General features: G+C 39.7%; 1 annotated feature.

Moving 5' to 3' along the window:
* Nucleotides 14,581-15,081: an enhancer, noted in NCBI's record as "H3K4me1 hESC enhancer chr9:121126258-121126758 (GRCh37/hg19 assembly coordinates)". NCBI's record gives its function as "activates a minimal SCP1, AML or CMV promoter by ChIP-STARR-seq in naive H9 embryonic stem cells {active_cell/tissue: H9 hESC(naive)}" and the evidence as "EXISTENCE:reporter gene assay evidence [ECO:0000049][PMID:30033119]".

Raw genomic sequence — 19,159 nt, 5'->3', positions numbered from 1 at the left:
TTGGGAGATAAACGAGAGAGTAATCAGGTATGGAAGAAGACATAAAATAGATTGGTCAGGGAAGTTCTGTCTGAGGAGGTGACAATTAAGCAAGATCTGAATATTAGAATAAGATATCCATTAGAAAAATACCCAAAATAGGGCAAAAAAAAAAGTGAAAGTCCAGAGGCAGGAAGCTTTATGTTCACAAAACAGGACAGGGGTTTTGAAGCTAGAGAACAAGAAAAAATGGACACAATGCAGTCAAAAAGGCCAACAGGAGCAGGGTCATGCAGGGGCACAAGAACATGGTCAGAAGTCTGAATTTTCTTCATTAAATGAGAAATCTTTGAAAAGTTTTAAATAGGGATATATTGTAATCTTATACATTTTCTTTTGATCTATGATGTCTGAGATAGAAAAAAAGCGATGATGTTAAGAGATTATGGACATTAGCAAAGTTTGATACAATCCTTGCTTTAGGGGAAGCACCAAAGTCCAATGGGAATCAGCAAATTTAGAACTAAATCAAAGAGAGTTGGAAGGGAGGGAGGATGACCTCACTGTCAAGGATTTACTGAAGAGAAAATGCTGCCGAGGGTAAGCTACTAGAAGCACCCGTGCTTTGAAGAACCTCTTTTATCCTCTTCTCTATAAAATTGATCACAGCACATCCTGGCCACTCACCCATAAGAAGTCTGAAAATTACCAGTGGAGAATCGAAGCGTTTTAAGAAAAAAAATGATATTCTTTACTAACACGAATGGATGAATGAATGAACAAACATTCCAACAAATGACACAAACAAGCAAACAAAACTACTCTTCAGGGCTTCAGCTGAAGATGAGATGTAAATTAAAGTACTGATTTCCTATCTTAGCTTGTCAGAATCATTTGCAAAGCTTTGTGAAGTTTAAAATTTCTAGGTTCCACTTGTTCAGATTCTCACCTGCTGATCAGTAGGGCTTTGTGCCCAGGAATCTGTATTTTTTTAAAGGTCCCCATTAAATGTTGATGTTCAGCCAGATTTAGAAACCGTCGAATTAGGTAAGCGCGCCAAGTCCCTTGCAGCCCAATGAGTCTGTAAATTATCAAACTGCAGTGAAACCAACATGGGACTATTGCTAGATGGTGCTAATGTGGATTGCCAAACTGTGTCATTTTAAATTTCATTTGAGGATAAAGCCAAATGATATTAGCAAATAAAAAAAGTTACTGGTGCCAAATTCTCCCAGCTGCTATGCACTGAAGGCACAAATTACAACATATATTCTAACTGTCTAAGAGAGTAAATGCATCTTCCGGGAGACTTGACTTATGGTCAAGGGGGTGTTTAGGCAGAGGGAGAAAGTATTTAGGATGATCATACATTATTTTTGTAATATTCCCTGTGTTGTCACTTTGGACAAACTTTTGCTCATTTGCTGCCATGTCTTCTGGCTATAAATGGTGCTCGATGGTGAGAAAGCTGATGTCAAAGGTATACGATGGGTTCAAGGACACACATTAAGTCATTGTCAAAATGGTTTCCAGTTAGGGCTCTACATTCTTAATTATTTAATTAGTCTCCCAAGACAAAGAAACAGCATAAACCAAGAGAAAAGTATCTAATTATTTCAATGGAAATTATATTGCTTTTCTGTACCACAGTGGTAGGCCCTGCTTGGAAAAATGATAGAATCTGGAGGTAAAAGAATATTGAGAAAGTCTTGCTTTTTCTACTGTCATGTTATAATATTTGAAATGTTACCATTAGTGACTCTTTCTAGAGAGAAAAACTACACTCATATTGGCCATCTGGGTTAGTTTTTTGTTTTGTTTCAGAATATCTTTGCAAGATATATGTTATGCCTTTTGCACATGTATTCGCTATTAGACATTCCTTCTATAGAGATTGAAAGAATTTTTTAGAACACCTGTTACGTGCCAGCCATTGTAATAGGCACTAAAAGTGCAATGATGACCTAGACACCCATCTTACTCTCAAGATCTTTAGTGTGGTGGCTAAGTCTGTGTTTGTGTAAATATACAGGACTAGGCAACATAAGACTATTCAGACTTTGTGCCCTTATTCAGTAAAAGAAACATTAGTTCTGGGTTGGTCTTCTAACAGATTTTAATTCCCAAACTTGGCCACAAATTAGTCCCCATCTAATGTGCTTCCTGCATGCTCCCTTTTGGAACACGTTCTCTTGGAATCCAGCTGTCATTCCCTGAATAGCCCAAGACACTGTGATGAGGCCTCTATATACGTTCCTCTGGTCGACTGTTAGAGCTGAGCCAAAACTTGGAGACATCCCTGTCCATGCCCACACATGCAAGAAAAGAAGCCTTCAGGTGATTTTAGCCACCAGCCATTCAATGCTTACCAGCTGAAAGCCCAGACCCCACGGGGCAGATGCCAGCTATCCCTACTACACTCTGGCTGACTTTTTTTTTTTTTTTGAGACAGGGTCTTGCCCTGGTGCCCAGGTTGGAGTGCAGTGGCACTATCTTGACTGAATGCAGCCTTGACCTCCCTGGCTAAAGCGATCCTCCTGGGTAGCTAGGACTACAGTCATATGCCACCACAAACAGTTAAATTTTGCATTTTTTGTAGAGAGGGGTTTCACCATGTTGTCCAGGCTGGTCTCTAAAATCTGAGCTCAAGTGATTTGCCTGCCTTGGCCTCCCAAAGTGCTGGGATTAAAGGCATGAGGAACAATACCCAGAACTCTAGATGATTTTTAAGAAAATAATAATAGCTAACATTCACTGATCTCTTACTATTTGCCAGGCACTGTGCCAAGGGATTTATATAACTAACTTACAGCTTGTTTAATTGTTAAAATGACCATGCAACATATGTTACTCTCCTTATTCCCATTTTACAGTTGACAAAGCAGAGGCTTATAGAGAATATGATTCTACATCCCAAGGTGCTGTAGCTAGTAAACAGTAGAGCTGAGACTGAAACTCACATATAGTTGTCTGTCTCCATGCTGCCACTATATTTTATTTTAGCCAACAATCAACTCGATTTATATATTTGTACAAGTACATGGCTGAATTTTCAAACTGTAGAATCCATGAGTATAATAAAATAGTTGATGTCTTATCCTACAATATTTGGGGTGCTTTATTACATAGCAATAGCTAACTAGAATAAGCCTCCCCCAATTCTACTGTAAGTTACCAAAAAATAAAAAATAAAAATAAAAATCCCCAGCCCTCAGGAACCAGTTTATTGGCCATTATTACAAGAAAGGGACAGTGACATTTACAGAACACCTACAATCCCTTAGAGTGTACTATGAGCTTTGCCTTAGGGACATTAAACATTTCCTTTCTTGACCTCATTTTATAGATGACCACTTTCACTTTGAGAATGGAGAAATGCTCAGAGACATTACCTAGAGTGTTCCTTTTTCCTGAACTGATCTCTCAGTTTTCAACGTCCTCTTTAGACTGCCTACCTCACAATTTTCCTCATCATCAGCCTAGATTTAATCTCCCTGGGAAAGTTTCCTATGACTCTTAATATTTAACTAGGTGGACCTCTCTATGTTCCCAAAGCACTAATCACCCAGGAATAGCAAGTATTTCTGAATTATAACCATGTACCTGCATATTTTTACTGCTATACCATACAATCCTTGAGGATGAAAATACAGCTTTGCTCACTGTTTTACGACCATAAAACTTATCAAGTGACTAGCAAATGAAGATGGCCTGTGGAAGTCAGAAATGGTATTCAACTCTGCAGGATCTTGCCTCAAACATCTTTAAAAAACCACATAGCCCTTCTACTTCTAATCAATACAAACCTCCACAAATTTTCTGTTGTCATCACCTTCTCTTTCACTCCCACAATCCATTCTAATTTAAAGTCTGGCATAATGACTGACTGACTGGTATTTAGATCAAGAAGAGGAGTAGGGAGGGAGGCCAAGGAGAGAGTGACAGGTGACCTGTGATATGAGGCAGACCGTTTATGTTTGTGGATCCTGCAGTTAGATTATTTATGTTTAAATCCTGGCTTCATTACCTTCTACCTTGTGAACTTGGTCCATTTGTTGCATCTTACCAAGCTTAATTTTTCTCTCTTTTAAAGTGGAGTTAACAGGGATTGTTGGAGAAACAAACGACAAGATGCCCATTGAGTACACATGGCAGTATGCATGGCTCATGGTAAGTATATTTAATTATATATTTAGTTATTGTCGGTGATATGCTAGACATCACAGAAATGGTAGCAGGAGTCATAGAAATAATGGAATTTGCACCAGGGTATGATTGCAAGTCAACATTTAAATAGTTTTCTTCTTTCTGAAGCCAAGTCTTTCAGTTTAATGTCTGAGTGACCCTGACATGGTTTTCTCATTGTATTTGGACCCTTTAAATGTCCATAGCTTTCACACTAATAATTTAAATAAAATGATAGAATAATGACATGTTAGAGCCCCAGTAGAAAGAGAGAGGGGATTTCCATTTATTGAGCACTTACTATATGCCAGGCACTTGCAGTGGCTTTTAAACTAGAGGACTTTTAAGTTATTTAAATTCTTAACTTTAGGAAAATAAAATCTAAGGCTGCATAATAAAATCTTACATGTGATATTCTGAACATAGAATTATTATATATAGAGAGAAATATTTCAAAAAAGTCAAGGAGAATAAGAGAGATGTAGTACCCTTAGGCTTTCTGATGATAACCCACAGATCATGGACTAGACCAAAATTCAGTAGGAAGCTGGAAAGTAAGAATAGGAACTTAAATTCATGAGGAAGGTTTTAAGTAGCTCTTTTCCTCTGAAAAAGCTGATGTTGTAGTGAAGTAACAAGAACCTCTAAAAACAGCATCGAGACTATCATTAATTAGAATCAGAGTCTTTGGAGATAGAGAGAAACTATTATGTCTCCCTTCCCTGGGGCCTGGGCTGGGATGATTCCCTACAGGGTTATTTCCAGTTCTGCGTGAGTTAATGATTCCATCATAATCAACCTCAGCCAAAGATAGTACAACATAAAGAACAAACAAAAGAAAATTGTTGGGATTACACATAAACTCTCTTTGGACATATGCTGGCTCACAAAGCTAATGAGCTCCCCATTCAGACTATCCAGTGGCAGCCTATTGTAATAGCCCTGAACATTCTGAGAAAACTGCTGTCGAAGTTGGGGAGAGGGTGGCTATTATGGCTGAATGCTGAAGAATGCAGTTTGATGAGGGAGGAAGGTCTTCCCTTGTCAGCTGCTTTTCACTAATAGAAAAATGCAAAGCCCAGGAAGGTGAGCCAGATGCTTGGCAAGGCCCATTTTGGCTTTTATAAAGTCATAAAGGGGATGGAGAGGGAAGAGGAAGAAAGGAGCTGTGTGTGCATGGGCACACACAGCTCATCCTAGCACAGGAGAACTGAGGTCTCCCTTGAGGCTTCAAGAGGCTACTTGCAGAATAATTCAACTGCATTCAAGGAAGGGCAGTAAACATACAAAACTCATTACACACAGCAAATAGAAATAACACCAAAAAAAGAGATGAATCTGTTGATTACTAATCTAATTTTTTGTAAAGGGAAGGGAGAGATATTTTAAGTATATCAAATATTATTATTCTCTCTGGATATAGCAAAACAAGGTAATATAGTTCAAGGTTTTTCACAATTTTTTTTTTATTATTCTTTAAGTTCTAGGGTACATGTGCACAACGTGCAGGGTTGTTACATATGTATACATGTGCCATGTTGATGTGCTGCACCCATTAACTCGTCATTTACATTAGGTATATTTCCTAATGTTATTAATGCTATCCCTTTCCACTCCCCCCACCCCACGACAGGCCCAGCATGTGATGTTCCCCTTCCTGTGTGCAAGTGTTCTCATTGTTCGATTCCTACCTATGAGTGAGAATATGCGGTGTTTGGTTTTATGTCCTTGTGATAGTTTGCTGAGAATGATGGATTCCAGCCTCATCCATGTCCCTAGAAAGGACATGAACTCATCCTTTTTATTGCTGCATAGTATTCCATGGTGTATATGTGCATAGTATTCCATGGTGTATATGTGCCACATTTTCTTAATCCAGTCTAACACTGATGGACATTTGGGTTGGTTTGAAGTCTTTGCTATTGTGAATAGTGCCACAATAAACATACATGTGCATGTGTCTTTATAGCAGCATGATTTATAATCCTTTGGGTATATACCCAGTAGTGGGATGGCTGGGGCAAATGGTATGTCTAGTTCTAGATCCTTGAGGAATTGCCACACTGTCTTCCACAATGGTTGAACTAGTTTGCAATCCCACCAACAGTGTAAAAGTGTTCCTATTTCTCCACATCCTCTCCAGCACCTGTTGTTTCCTGACTTTTTAATGATCACCATTCTAACTAGTGTGAGATGGTATCTCATTGTGGTTTTTCACAATTTTTAAAAATATCTTAAGCCATTTTTCTGTGAAAATTTGTCTGGAAGTCGAAATCATAAGACACATTACAACAGTATAAAGAGAAGGCGAAGACTTATAGTTGGTCTTCTCTCCCCAGTTCTTGGCCCCTACAGTTGCCCTGGACATACCCCCCCTTGAGACTCAAAGTATCCCAGAAATCCAACTTGAACATCTCTTGGGCTGGCTTAGCCATATAGTATCCAAGAAATGGTAGGCAATGCTGCTCAAACGTTCTTTGCCTGTTTCTTCATCGATAAAATGGCAATAATGGAAATCTACCAGGACTGTAGGAAAAGAGTTAAGCAGTTCAGTACCTGGCACCCAGCAAGCTCCCAACCAATGTTACGTTTCTTTTTAACCACTAAACTCAGCATAGATTTTGCATTCTCTGAAAATATTTCTTAGTACTTCAGCACACACAAGCTCTTTCTTCTTTAAATACTATTGACTTTTAGTCAGTGAAACACTTTACAATTTGCTCATCTGCAATTACTATTATTAACAAAAATAATGGTAGCAGCTACTGGTTCATTAATCATGCACTGTATATACATAAAACAACCCTGTTTTATACATACATAAAACAATCATGCACTGTATATACATAAAACAATATCAAAAATAGTTATTTTTCCCAGTGTAGAGATACAGAAAAAAAAAGAGAAGTTGCGAAGTTAAGTAAGGTATTTCCTAATTAGCTCAACTATGTGCTGTCCCCTTGGTGGGGAATGGGACAGGGTCATGGCCTAATTACAATACATGGTGGCAAGCTTGATAGGATCCAAGATTGATAGGAGTCTACTGTGGTCTAGACTTGCTAGATCCCATGCAATGAATGAGATGACAGTCAGGATCTCACTGATCCCAGTGAGATCCCATGCAATGAATGAGATGATAGTCAGGAGCACAAGCAGGGAGTGACAACTGAGCATCATCAGTGACATTGTTAAGACCCTTGGACACTCACACTTTCCCAACGAGAGTTCTGCATCTGAACCACAGATTCCAAACATGATTTCAGTAGTGATTTTCTAAGTTCTTCCAAGGAGAACTCATAAACAGATGCATGGGAGAGAAGTTAATTTGTTACATAATAGGGGTTCTTTGAGGCATTAAGAGTTAATTCTTTTACAGAACCCTGGTAGATAAAAACTGAAACTGACAATATTTTCTATGCTACAGGATCAGAAAAAGGGCAAAGAAGGCAGCAAATCTTATGCTGCATGATCAGAAAGTGAGTAGAGACGTCAGAGATTCTGAATCTGTAGAATCAGAAAAAGGGTAAACATACTTCAGCACTTAGGGTAAACCAGCACTCTTCAAGAATGAACTTTGCACTATTTAATCTAGTAGATTATGAACTCACCCTAAACACTCTTACCTAAAAGCATATGTTTGCTTTTGCACACTTAAAATGTGCAGCGTAGATTATGCACTTCCCTAAACACTCTAACCTAAAGCATGTTTGCTTTTGCACATTTACAGTGTGCATGAATGTGCGTGCATTTGTATGTGTGGACACAAGAAGCTTCTAATGTCTAAAATGATCTTAGGCCCCGTCGAAAGGCACTAGTGGTGGGATGAGATTAGTGGTGTGAGCAAGACTCTTGGGCCATGAATTCTCCCAGATAATTATTAACCCTCAGGCAATGGCCCTTACTAGTTCCGAGTTTCCACCTGCTTGGATGATTCTATGATGACCCTACATTGTGAAGAAAATAATATGTTTAATCAGTATTGCAATGTGCACAGTGGTAGCCAGCATGTAAGCCTGTGGTTCTTTGAGCGAGGACTCCAGAAGAGTCTTATAGTAATGTTGCTTATAAAGTGGCTTGGTGATTTACTGTTGTTTCTGGCCCTAAAAACTATTTACTTCTTGTATTGAGTAAGAAATCAGCATGGGGCTTTAGAAAGAGATGTGTTGTAAGAGAGAAGAGATCTGGCCTCTTTCCATCCTAGACAGATACCTGTGAGATGCCATGCACATAATATTTATTTAATAAATGTGTATTTAATTGGATTGAACTTGACTGGCTGTGACTCTAAGTGGCTTTATTAATAATATATATTTGTTATTAAATTACATATTTATTTGCTTATCTGTTTGTTGTCTGTCTCTTCCCCTAGAATATATACTCCATGAGTTTAAGGTCCTTGACAGTTTTACTCACTACAGTATTCCCAATGCTTAGAATGATTCCCGGCTCCTAGTAGGCGATCAATACATATTTGTTAGATGAATGAACACCTTTCATTGAGATTTCTGAAATATGCCAGGCACCATGCTAAGCAATTTGATATATATTATGCCATTTGATCAAGTGTGTCTCAAACTTTAATGTGCTAATGCATCTCCAGTGATCTTGTTAAATGCAGATTCTATTGAGTGGGTTGGAGGTAGGGTTAAATATTTTGCATATCTAGTAAGTTTCCAGGTGACGACAATGCTGCTGGTTCATCCACAACACTTACACTAGTAAGGATAAAATCGTCTTATCACATAGGCATTATTTCCCCTTTATTTTTCAAAGAATGAAATTGAGACTTCTGGATGTTCACCAGATTATCCAAGGTCACATAGCTAATAAGTAGGAGGTTCTGATAAATAAGAAAAGCTAACCCCACACTCATTAAGCAGTACCTCCCCATTCTCTACTCCCTCCAGCCTCTGTCAATAACAAACCTGCTTTCTGTCTCTATTTATTCACTTACTATGAATATTTCATAGAAATGGTAGATCATATATTATATGGTCTTTGAGTCTGGGTTTTTTCACTTAGCACAATGTTTTAATGTTCCTCTGTGTTCTAGAATGTATCAGTAATTCATTTCTTTTTATGGATAAATAATATTTTATTGTATAGACATAATTCCACATTGTATTCCATTCAACGACTGGAACAGTTAGTCAATTTCTACATTTTGACTCTTGTGAATAGTCCTGGTATAAACATTTTTGTATATTGTTTTGTTTGTTTATTTGTTTGTTTCAAACACATGCTTTCAATTCTTTGGATTACATATGTAGGAGTAGAATTCCTGGCTTATATGGCAATTCTATGCATAAATTCTTGAGGAAATGTCAAACTGTTTGGTTGAACCATTTTACATTCCCAACAGCAGTGTACTAGGGTTCCACTTTTTTTTTTTACATCCTTATCAACTCTTGTTATTTTCCATTTTTCAATTATAACCATCCTAGTGGGGGATGCAGTAGTATCTTTGTCATTTTGATTTGCATTTCTCTAATGTCTCATGGCTGCATCCAAGACCTTAGTCAAACCCCTGAACTTGCTTTAATGCTCAATCTCTTCATTCTTACAGTTCTGACCTGCTTCTGCCTGTATGCCTTCATTAAGAAAGCAAAGTATGGCTGGGTTGTTGGCATCTTCTCTGTTCCTTCATCAAACATTTTGTCTTTTATTTCTCAGAAGACTCTTTCTGTGTGATGCTTGGAACTCATTTTCAGCCTCTTAGCCTCTAATTACTCACCTCCAACTTGAGGCTGGGTTTCCCTCCCCTCTAGATATCCAATTCAACAGGATCCAAGATCTATCCACCTCAGCTTTCTTCATCTGGTACATGGAAAACACTCTTGCATTCTTGCCTTGTTCATCTCAGAAGTGTGTGCTGAGCTCACTGCAGCAACATTCTCATTGTTTAGTTGCCAAAGCTATTGCCCAGCCAATGGTCACCCTGTATTTATCCTGGGCAGGAGTCTTACATTAAACCATAGTGTCCATCAACCACAGGGACACACATATCAAGCTCTCTGGGTGATCCCAGGGATTCTTTCTCTCTCTAGTGGTCTTAAAGGGAATTGGGCCTCACAGCAATTCCCTTTAGGGGCTTTCTATAACTACCCTCTCCTCCCAAACTTTCCCCTCCTTCTCTCCCTCTCCCCATCTCTTCCTCTCTACCTCTTTCTCTCTTTCTTTGTTTGACAGAGTATAGCTCTATCACCCAGGCTGGAGTGCACTGATGCGATCATGGCTCACTGCAAACTCCACCTCCTGGATTCAAACAATTCTTATGCCTCAGCCTCCCAAGTAGCTAGGATTACAGTTGTGTGCCACCATGCCTAGCTAATTTTTGTATTTTAAGTAGAGATAGGATTTTGCCATGTTGACCAGGCTGGTCTCAAACTCCTGGCCTCAAGTGATCTGCCCACCACAGCCTCCCAAAGTGCTGAGATTACAGGCTTGAGCCACTGTGTCCAGCCTCAACTCTTTCTTTTTGATGTCCTTCTGTTTGCATGGTCTAAGAGTTGTGAAACCCATTACTTTACTTTTACACTGTAAATTCTTAATAAATTATACCTATGGCCATAATGAGGATTTGTTGAGTATTTACCTTTGTAATATCCCATGTTATGGGCTGAATTGTGCTTTCCATGTCTCCAAATTCGTATGTTGAGATCCTAACCCCCTGAACCTCAGAATGTTACTGTATTTGGAGATAGGACCTTTAAAGAGGTGACTAAGTTAAATAAAATAGGCCATAAGGGTGGGCCTTAATCCAATCTGTCTGGTCGTTGTGAGAAAAGAAATTATTATTATAAGACTTACAAAAGGCCACGGATGATGCATGTGCACAGAGAAGTTCATGCAATGAGGCAGGAAGAAAGTGGCTATCCGCAAGTCAAGAAGAGAGGTCTCAGAGGGGTTCAATTTTGCTGGCACCTAAATCTTGGACTTCTAGCCTCCAGAACTATGAAAAAACAAATTTCTGTTGTTTAAGCTACCTAGTCTATGATGTTTTGTTATGGCAGCCCTAGCAAACTAACACAGCCTCTCAGTGAAAACCTATATAGGAAGTGGCCCATTCCAACGTCCTGCTACATATAGGAAACTTGGTGGTCACTGATGCTATGGACTGAACATTTGTGTCCCACCAGGATTCATGCATTAAAGCCTAACCCCCAATGTAATGGTATTTGGAGGTAGGGCCTTTGGTAAGTAATTAGGTCATGAGGGTGGATTCCTCATGAATGGGATAAATACACTTATAAAAATAGACATGAGAGAGTTTGCTTCCTCTTTCTCTGCTCATTACCTTGTGGGGATTTCAAGGAGATGACAATCATCTGCAAATCAGTGACCAAGCCCTCACCAGACACCAGATCTGCTGGCACCTGGATCCTGGGACTTCCCAGCCTCCAGAACTGTGGGAAATAAAAGTTTGTTGTTAAGGTCACCTAGTCTATGGTATATTTGTTATAGCAGCCTGAACTGACAAGACACTGGCTGTGGAATGCCATATATTTTATTTGGGACTGGCTTTAACCCTTACTAACTAAGTGCCCTCAGGCAATTAACCTTGGCTCTTCAAAACTATTTCCACATGTATAATATGGGAATATTAATGGGAAAATTGTAGTCATCCTCCTTTATTGAGGGTTTTAAATCAATACATAACCATTTATTTGCTCATGTGAATCTCATTACAACTTTGTAGGATTGTGAGGCTCAAATGAATCTATGTGAAAGTGCTTTCTAAATTCTAAAGTGTTATAAAATGTTCATTAATACAATCACAACATCTATAAAACTGTTAATGGGAGGGAGAGGAAATCAATTGCTGTGTGATTTTGTTTTGAGTATAGGGTCAGGGTGTAAACTGGTAAACACTCCCCTCTGCCTGTCAGCAACCAACAATTAATCTGTCTCAGGGTATTTTTAAACATTGGGAATCACGTATTTTCCATTCACCAGCTGGAAGACTGCCATCCAAAGCAGCCAGCATCAGCTACCAGCTGAATTAATACTCGCTGTTACTAAGAACTCAGTTTCTCCGCCTCTTCCTTCACTTCCACAAGTTCATGCAAAGCAGCCAACATAAAGTTCTCTGGAGCTGAGCTTACACATATATAGGAAGCCTGAAATTTTGACTCTTATAGCCACAGGATCAAAGATCTATTATTTCTTAAGGATCTTATATGTGCTAGGAAATGTGTTAGACATGCCACATGCATTTTTTTTCTCACACAAGGGGTGGGTTCAGTTCTTTGGCAGCTAACAGCCCAAAGACCACAACCAAGGACAGTTTAAAAGAGGATTTTATTACTTACAGTAAACAAGGAGAACACCAGAGATTGCTCCCAAAGCAGAACCTCCCAGAGCTGGAGGCTGGATCAGGCTTTATAAGCATAAGGTAATAAGGCATGATCTTGCAATGAGGTGATGCTGGAAGGCATGATCTGACTGGATCCTGCCATGGGGTGGTGCCACAGCTCAATCCAATTGGATCCTGGATCCCGTCATGTGGTTTGGGATTCTTAATTCAGCCTCCTCCTAGGTTGGAGCACTTAGGTTTCTCCTGCGGCTGCACACTTGTTTTATCTAGGCATGCTCAGGATAGGTGACCAGAGGGTCCATGGCAACTGAAAAACAACTCATTAATTTGTTACAAAAAAGTTAAACCAGATTGGTCTGGTGCAGCTACATTTTCTTATGTAAACACTTGTAGTAGTCCTTTAAAAGAGGAGTTAATAGCTCCATCTTCAGTTTAAGTAATTGAATTTTAGAGAGGTCAATGACTTTCCATTCACTCATTTGATGGGTTATTCATTGAGCACTTTCTCTTTGCTAAGTCCTGAGTATATGCTGGAGAATACAACATGGAACTTGCAATCTTAGTGGAAGAATACAACATAAAAACCAAACAAGCAAATCTATATAGAATTTGAGTTCTGCAAAGGAAATTCACAACATAGGCACTTTCTACATGGACTTTAACTCAAATCTTAGTTGGGGAGCAGACAACAAACAAATAACCACAGATTTAAGTTCCATAAGCGGCTTCACAGAAAGTGGTAAAAATACAGATGGGTGGATAAGAAAGTACACTTAATGAGAAAACTGAAGCATAAAAAGTAGCCATGAGGGATAAAAGTAGCCATCTGTCTAAAAGAATGACATGAAGACAAAGCACTAATGATACAACTTAAACCGCTGTATCTCACCATGAAGGACCCTTGTAATTTTCTGGTATAGGAATTGATACATAATCTTTTTTGCTTAAGTTAAAGTTAAGAATCTTGATATAGACCCAAGGATAGAAGAGCCAAATTGTAAGACCTTTTTGTGACACCAGCTGGTGTCTTGAGGAAATTCATTTCAACTTTCTGAACTTTCAAAATTGCCTTGTTAAACTTATGCTATTCTGAGGATCAGAGAAGTAGTATATAAAACGTACTTTTCAATGTGCTACACAAATGTAAGAGATTACTGAAAACACCAACAACTTCCTGCAGGCAAACAACTGTGATTCATGCATGTCACTCAACATGATGTTAATCCAATAGGTTAAACATCTTTTAGTAGGGTTTACCAAGTTGAATTCTTAACAACAGCTCTGGTCACAAACTCACTAACAAACTTTGGTTAGCTCAGAACCGCTTCCCAAATAAGAAATATGTCACCTAGTCTCGCATTCTCCCCTCCTACTACCATACCATCGCTGGTACAATGTCCTTATTGTTTTCCAAATTTCCAGCATTTAAATAATCGTCCAGGGTCTTGTGGAGACTTGATAAATATCTGAGACCCAGTTTCTGACTTACTGAATCTGAAATTCGGTAAGCAGGTGAAGCCAAGGAAATCTGTGTATATTTAATAGGCAGCACGGGTGACTCACTGGACCCCAAATTGATGTGCATATAAGAATTGCCTGGGGAGTTCATGAAAAAAGAAATTCCTAGCAACAGCCTTCAATAAAATGTCTAATTTAGTGAGCCTGGGGAACCACCCAGAAGTTGCATTTTTTAATAAGCATTCCCCTGTTGACTGTGGTCTGTTGTTCAAGTGTAAAAAAAATCATTCATCTAGAAATGAATTTATTACCATCTCTTGTACCCTCTGAATGTCCACCTTTCCAGCCTTCCCTTCACAGCCTCCTAGCAATCTAAATTCATCTTTTGCAAGTAGTTCTAGAATTACTGCCCTCTTCTCCACTGCCCTAGGGTTTTCTAAAACATTTTGGGAGAGATACAGACATGCTAAGTCACTCTGTCTTGTGGCTTGGATCATTATGTCACAAGATCCTTCAGGTGTCACTTCATCAGCTGGAAACCTCTGTGGTTGGCAGTGCCTCTGCTCGAGTTTTGCCCGCACCCACTGGGCTTGTCCCACCCACTCGGCCCAACAAACTGCACTTGGCTCACACTACTGGCCCAGATCCCATGCCTGTCAAGGGAAAGCCAGACATGGAGTGGTGAGGGGTGTGAGAGCAAGTGAGCACCAGGTCCAGCCACTGCATGCAGCCAGGCTTGCTGGTTGCCATGGAGGGGTGGGCAGCTCCAGGCACCAACACAGACACCAGTATAGGCACTGGATCCATGCTAAGCTGTGATGGCACCAGACGTACCACAAGCGGCTTCTGCTGCAGGCACCATCATCTGGATGAGAGGAATGTAGTGGTGCCCAAAAGCTCAGAGATTCCAGGAGCTGCAGAGCCCCAAAGAGGGTTTCATAGCAGGTCACAGCCTTGGCTAGGGGATTCCCAAGGTCTGTGCTCCCAGAAGGGCCACATCTCTTCTCTCCTTCTCCTTGCCCACAGTGCAGTGAAGTTGGGGTTGGGGGGGGGGTCATGTTTCAGCCTGTTTGTGTTACAACTCTTTCAGTCCCACTGCCTGGCACCGGCCCATGGCTCCTGGGCTGACCTACCTGACCCCGCTGCTGCTTCTTGTTGCATGGAGTGGTTACGTGGTGCCAGTGGAGGGTGGGAGGGCTATAGTGTAATGGCTTTGGCTGGGGGAATCCTGAGGTCTGGGTTTCCAGAAAGGTCACCATTCTTCACTCCTACTCCTGCATTCTGGGGGCATGCCATCACCCGCAGCTCAGGAAGCCAGCCAGGAACATGTTACAGCCACTTTTGCTCCCATCGTTTGGCGGGTCCTGAGTTCTTGTCTTGAGTCCAGGAAGAATGAGGTTACACAGACAACTGGAGAGTGAGCAACGTGGAGAAGAGCTTTATTGGGTGACCAAAAACTCTCAGCAGAGAGGAGACCTGAAGTCTGTAGTTCCTATCTGCAGACAGGTAGTCCTGATGAGTGTCTGAGTCTGGCTGAGTCTGGGGTTTTTATGGGCTCAGAATGGAGGAAGTGCATGCTGATTAGTGCATAGGCAGGAGGAACTGTGTGCTCATTGGTCCATGGGAGGGCCCAGAAAAAGTACCACTTTATTGACCAAAAGGCATCAAAGAAATTGTCACTCCTGGTCAGGGCAGGAACTGGCAGTCCAGCCCCCAAGCTTCAGGCCATCCCTGGCTTGAAGGTGGAGTTTCACCTGGGACCCACCCCTTCCTGCCTAAGAACCTGTCTGCTTTCTGCCGTCAATTATTAATTAGATATTATAGGGAAAATTAAAGATTTGAAGAAAATTTAAAAGGGAAGGAGGGAGCAAATAAAGAAACAGAATAATTGTGTGTTTTCAGTGCCAGAAATGGGTATGATTATCAAAAGTTTCTGGAGTCAGAAAAAGCAAATGTGATGTATTTCTCCTACATTTTAATGGGGAGAACAAATGTAGTGGAAGCTTATTCTATGATAGTGTAAGATATGTGTGCACCACTACAGAAATTCCTGGCTTCTTGGAGCAGAAGGAATAGATGTTTAGGTAATCCTGAGGTATTGTTTGGGGGACTTTCAATTCACACTTATTATAAGAATTGTAACTATTTAAGGAATATATAATTTCTCCTCTGAAGTGGAAACTGGGAAAAAAATGAACAAAAGAAATGGGTAATTGGAAAAAAATGTTACAACATTTATCCAGGCAAACTATAATGCTTCCCCAGATCAAATGCAGCCCACATTCAACTTTTCTGAATCATTAAGTATCCCAATTGCCTGTGTGCAACTTCCCCAACTCAGCTACAATCATCAGTGAGAGGAAACGTGCCTAAGAGCAAATGTGTAAAGTCAGCACCAGAGGGATTTTAGGGTGGAGTGGTGGGGGATGGTGGTGAGTAAAAATAAAGGCCGCCTGCCTGTCCGTACTGTTCCACCAATGATTTCATTGATACATTCAGACTCAAATTTTGTCACCAGAGACACCTGTGATGCCTGCTGGCATTTCCTTGCAGCCTCAACTGGACTCTCTTCCTAAAAGCTCTCCAGTTTTTCCCCTCTACTGAAACTACTTAATCCTCCCTGCTTCTTTGGGTCCTTTGAAGCATGGGAAAACAGAGACTGAGTCTGACTGTTCACTGTGATTCCTTTCTATTTAGATCCAAATTAAAAATGATCCTATTTGCTGCCTGCTACCGAAGAATATAATTTAAGAGTTGTTTCCAGTCCAACAAAAACAACTGAAGACTGGGTGATTCACCTGAGTGATATTTTTGGAAATACATGTGTTTATATCATGCAAACCACTGGCCCCTGCTTTCTCCCATCCCTGATGTACTCACAATTTTTAATGGCTTGAAATGCACTTCTAATAGAAACTAAACTTACTAAAGAGCCTAGAAGGATGTGTATGATGCAGCCTCCATGACCACAGAAGCTTGCCCATTTTCCTCCATTGCTTGCCATCTCCTGCTCACTCACCATTTTACCCCACTCTCTAGCCAAGGCTCTTTACCCCACTCTCTAGCCAAAGCTCAGCCAAAATTTCATTTCTTCAAGAAGCTGTTCCCAGGATCCTGCAGGCTCACTGTGGGAAGCTTATGGTCTCTTAACTCCTGCATTTCTCCTTGATATCACTTATCACAATTAAAACTAAAATAATAACAATTATGAAATTTCTTGCTTGATGATGATTATTAAATTCTCTAGTACAATGCCTACTCCATAAAGATAGGAAGGCACTTTTGTGTTGAGCATCTCGAGTTTGGTAGGGTGTCAGAGGACCCATAAACGTTCTCTGAATGAATTTTAAATGGAGGTGAAGAGTGTTTATAAGAAAAGCCTGTGTTGGTATCATGTGGTGTTCATTTACAAATACACCTCAATTAGTAGCGCAGCAGAAGGCCTCTCTGATCTTCAAACCCCAAGCTGAATTAGTCAGTGCTCTTAACTCCAAGGGCCTTGGATGTCCAAAAGCACTTATCCCCAATAATTTTCTGTAGATTTTTAGAAAGTATTTTTGTTTTGGGGGACTCTCAGCCTTCGGGCCCTATTTCCAGACCTTCTCTCCTTTGTACCATGCTGAAATTTTAGCTCAAATATTCACTTCTGTCTTCCACTTTATAAGTATGTAGATTTTCCCGAAACATTTCTGAATATGGGCAAGATGGCCGAAGACTTCAAGCGCTGGGAGGAGGCAAAACAAGTGTTTACATCACAGGAATACAAACAACCTTCAAAGTCTCTGACCATTGCCCCCATCACCGCAGTTCCCCACTTACCCCACCACATATATTCTCTGTTTCCTGACTCTTCTCCCAGCCTCCCATAATATATACATAGTTTTAAATACTCGTTTCTCCTTATCCATGTCCCCTACTTGATCTCAGAAATTCCAAAGAAAATACTGCCTTAGTCTTCAATAGGTACGTTTTTCCCTCTCTTTTAATGCCATGACATATTCCAAAAATGAATCTGACCTACTTGAAGTAGTATTTCCAGTTATTTCCTCAACAAAAATAGTCTCCTTCACAAAAGGAATCTCATTCTCAGATAGTAAGATGGTGTTTATTGATTTCGTCTCACTGTTATGTCCTACTTAAAAGTTTAAATTTGTGTCATATTTTCTTCCCAAATGGCTTCTTTTATAGAAGCTTGAGTCAATTCTTCCAAGAGAAAAACAAAGTGATAATGAAACCACATAGAGCACTGAGAGCTAAGGAGACAGAAATCTAGGTTAAAATCTCTTTGAATTTGTAACCTGTGGGACTGCAAGTAAGTTATTTAAACTTTCTAACATTCCACTGCACTATCTGTAAAATGAGAATGATGATTTGGGATTTTTTCAGTTACATGGAATAATAAATCACTTCATTGCTTAAGCCAATGTAAAAGGCTTTTTCTTTGCTTACCATCCAAAGCTTGATAAATGATCCACTTTTATTAGTTCATATGTTCATATACAGTTTTCTCTATTTCAGCAGAAGCTCAGTTTGCATCTATATTTCTATGTTTGCTAGGATACCACAGCTTGGATTTGAATATTCAGTAAAAATAATGATGAAATTAATAATAACAAAATTATTAGTTTACTTTTGAAATATTCATAAATACTATTCAAGCAGTTTTTATTTTATAATCATATTTCACTTGTATCATTTAAAAATAAAATTGTAATCACATACATTTATTCATATGCATATATATATACATAACTTGTTTCCTCGTTGCCTAGCTAACATCCTTTCCATTACACCGTTCCAATTTCATGGAGATTTTCCTCTTGCTAAGCCAGTCTCCTACTACACCGCTGCCTGGTGAGGAGTGGTGTTGACCTTAAACCCTAACCTGGCACAAAATATGTGGCATTCCCCTGACCATAATGTTGATTCATAAGGGTTTAGTTAGCACTAACATAGGATCTTTTGTTTGATAGTGGTGGAAACCTACCCAGTCTGTTACCTTTTTACGGATAAGGGGCAACAAAGCCTTAATTGATAATATGTTGCTATCTTGAAGCCATGAGGAAGACCAGTCTGAAATGGGGCTGACATTGAGAAGAAGCCCGAGTTAAGAGAACCACAGAGAAATGGAGGTTAAATCTTTGAACAAACCTTACCTGAGCCCATGTAATTTTGAGTTTTCCAGTTTTGTGAAGTAAGCAATTCTTCTTTATAATTGAA

This window comes from Homo sapiens, chromosome 9 (genome assembly GCF_000001405.40).
Source record: "Homo sapiens chromosome 9, GRCh38.p14 Primary Assembly".
Classification (NCBI taxonomy): Eukaryota; Metazoa; Chordata; class Mammalia; order Primates; family Hominidae; genus Homo; species Homo sapiens.
Note: the sequence above shows the minus strand (reverse complement) of the source record. Positions and strands in the feature narration are given on the sequence as shown.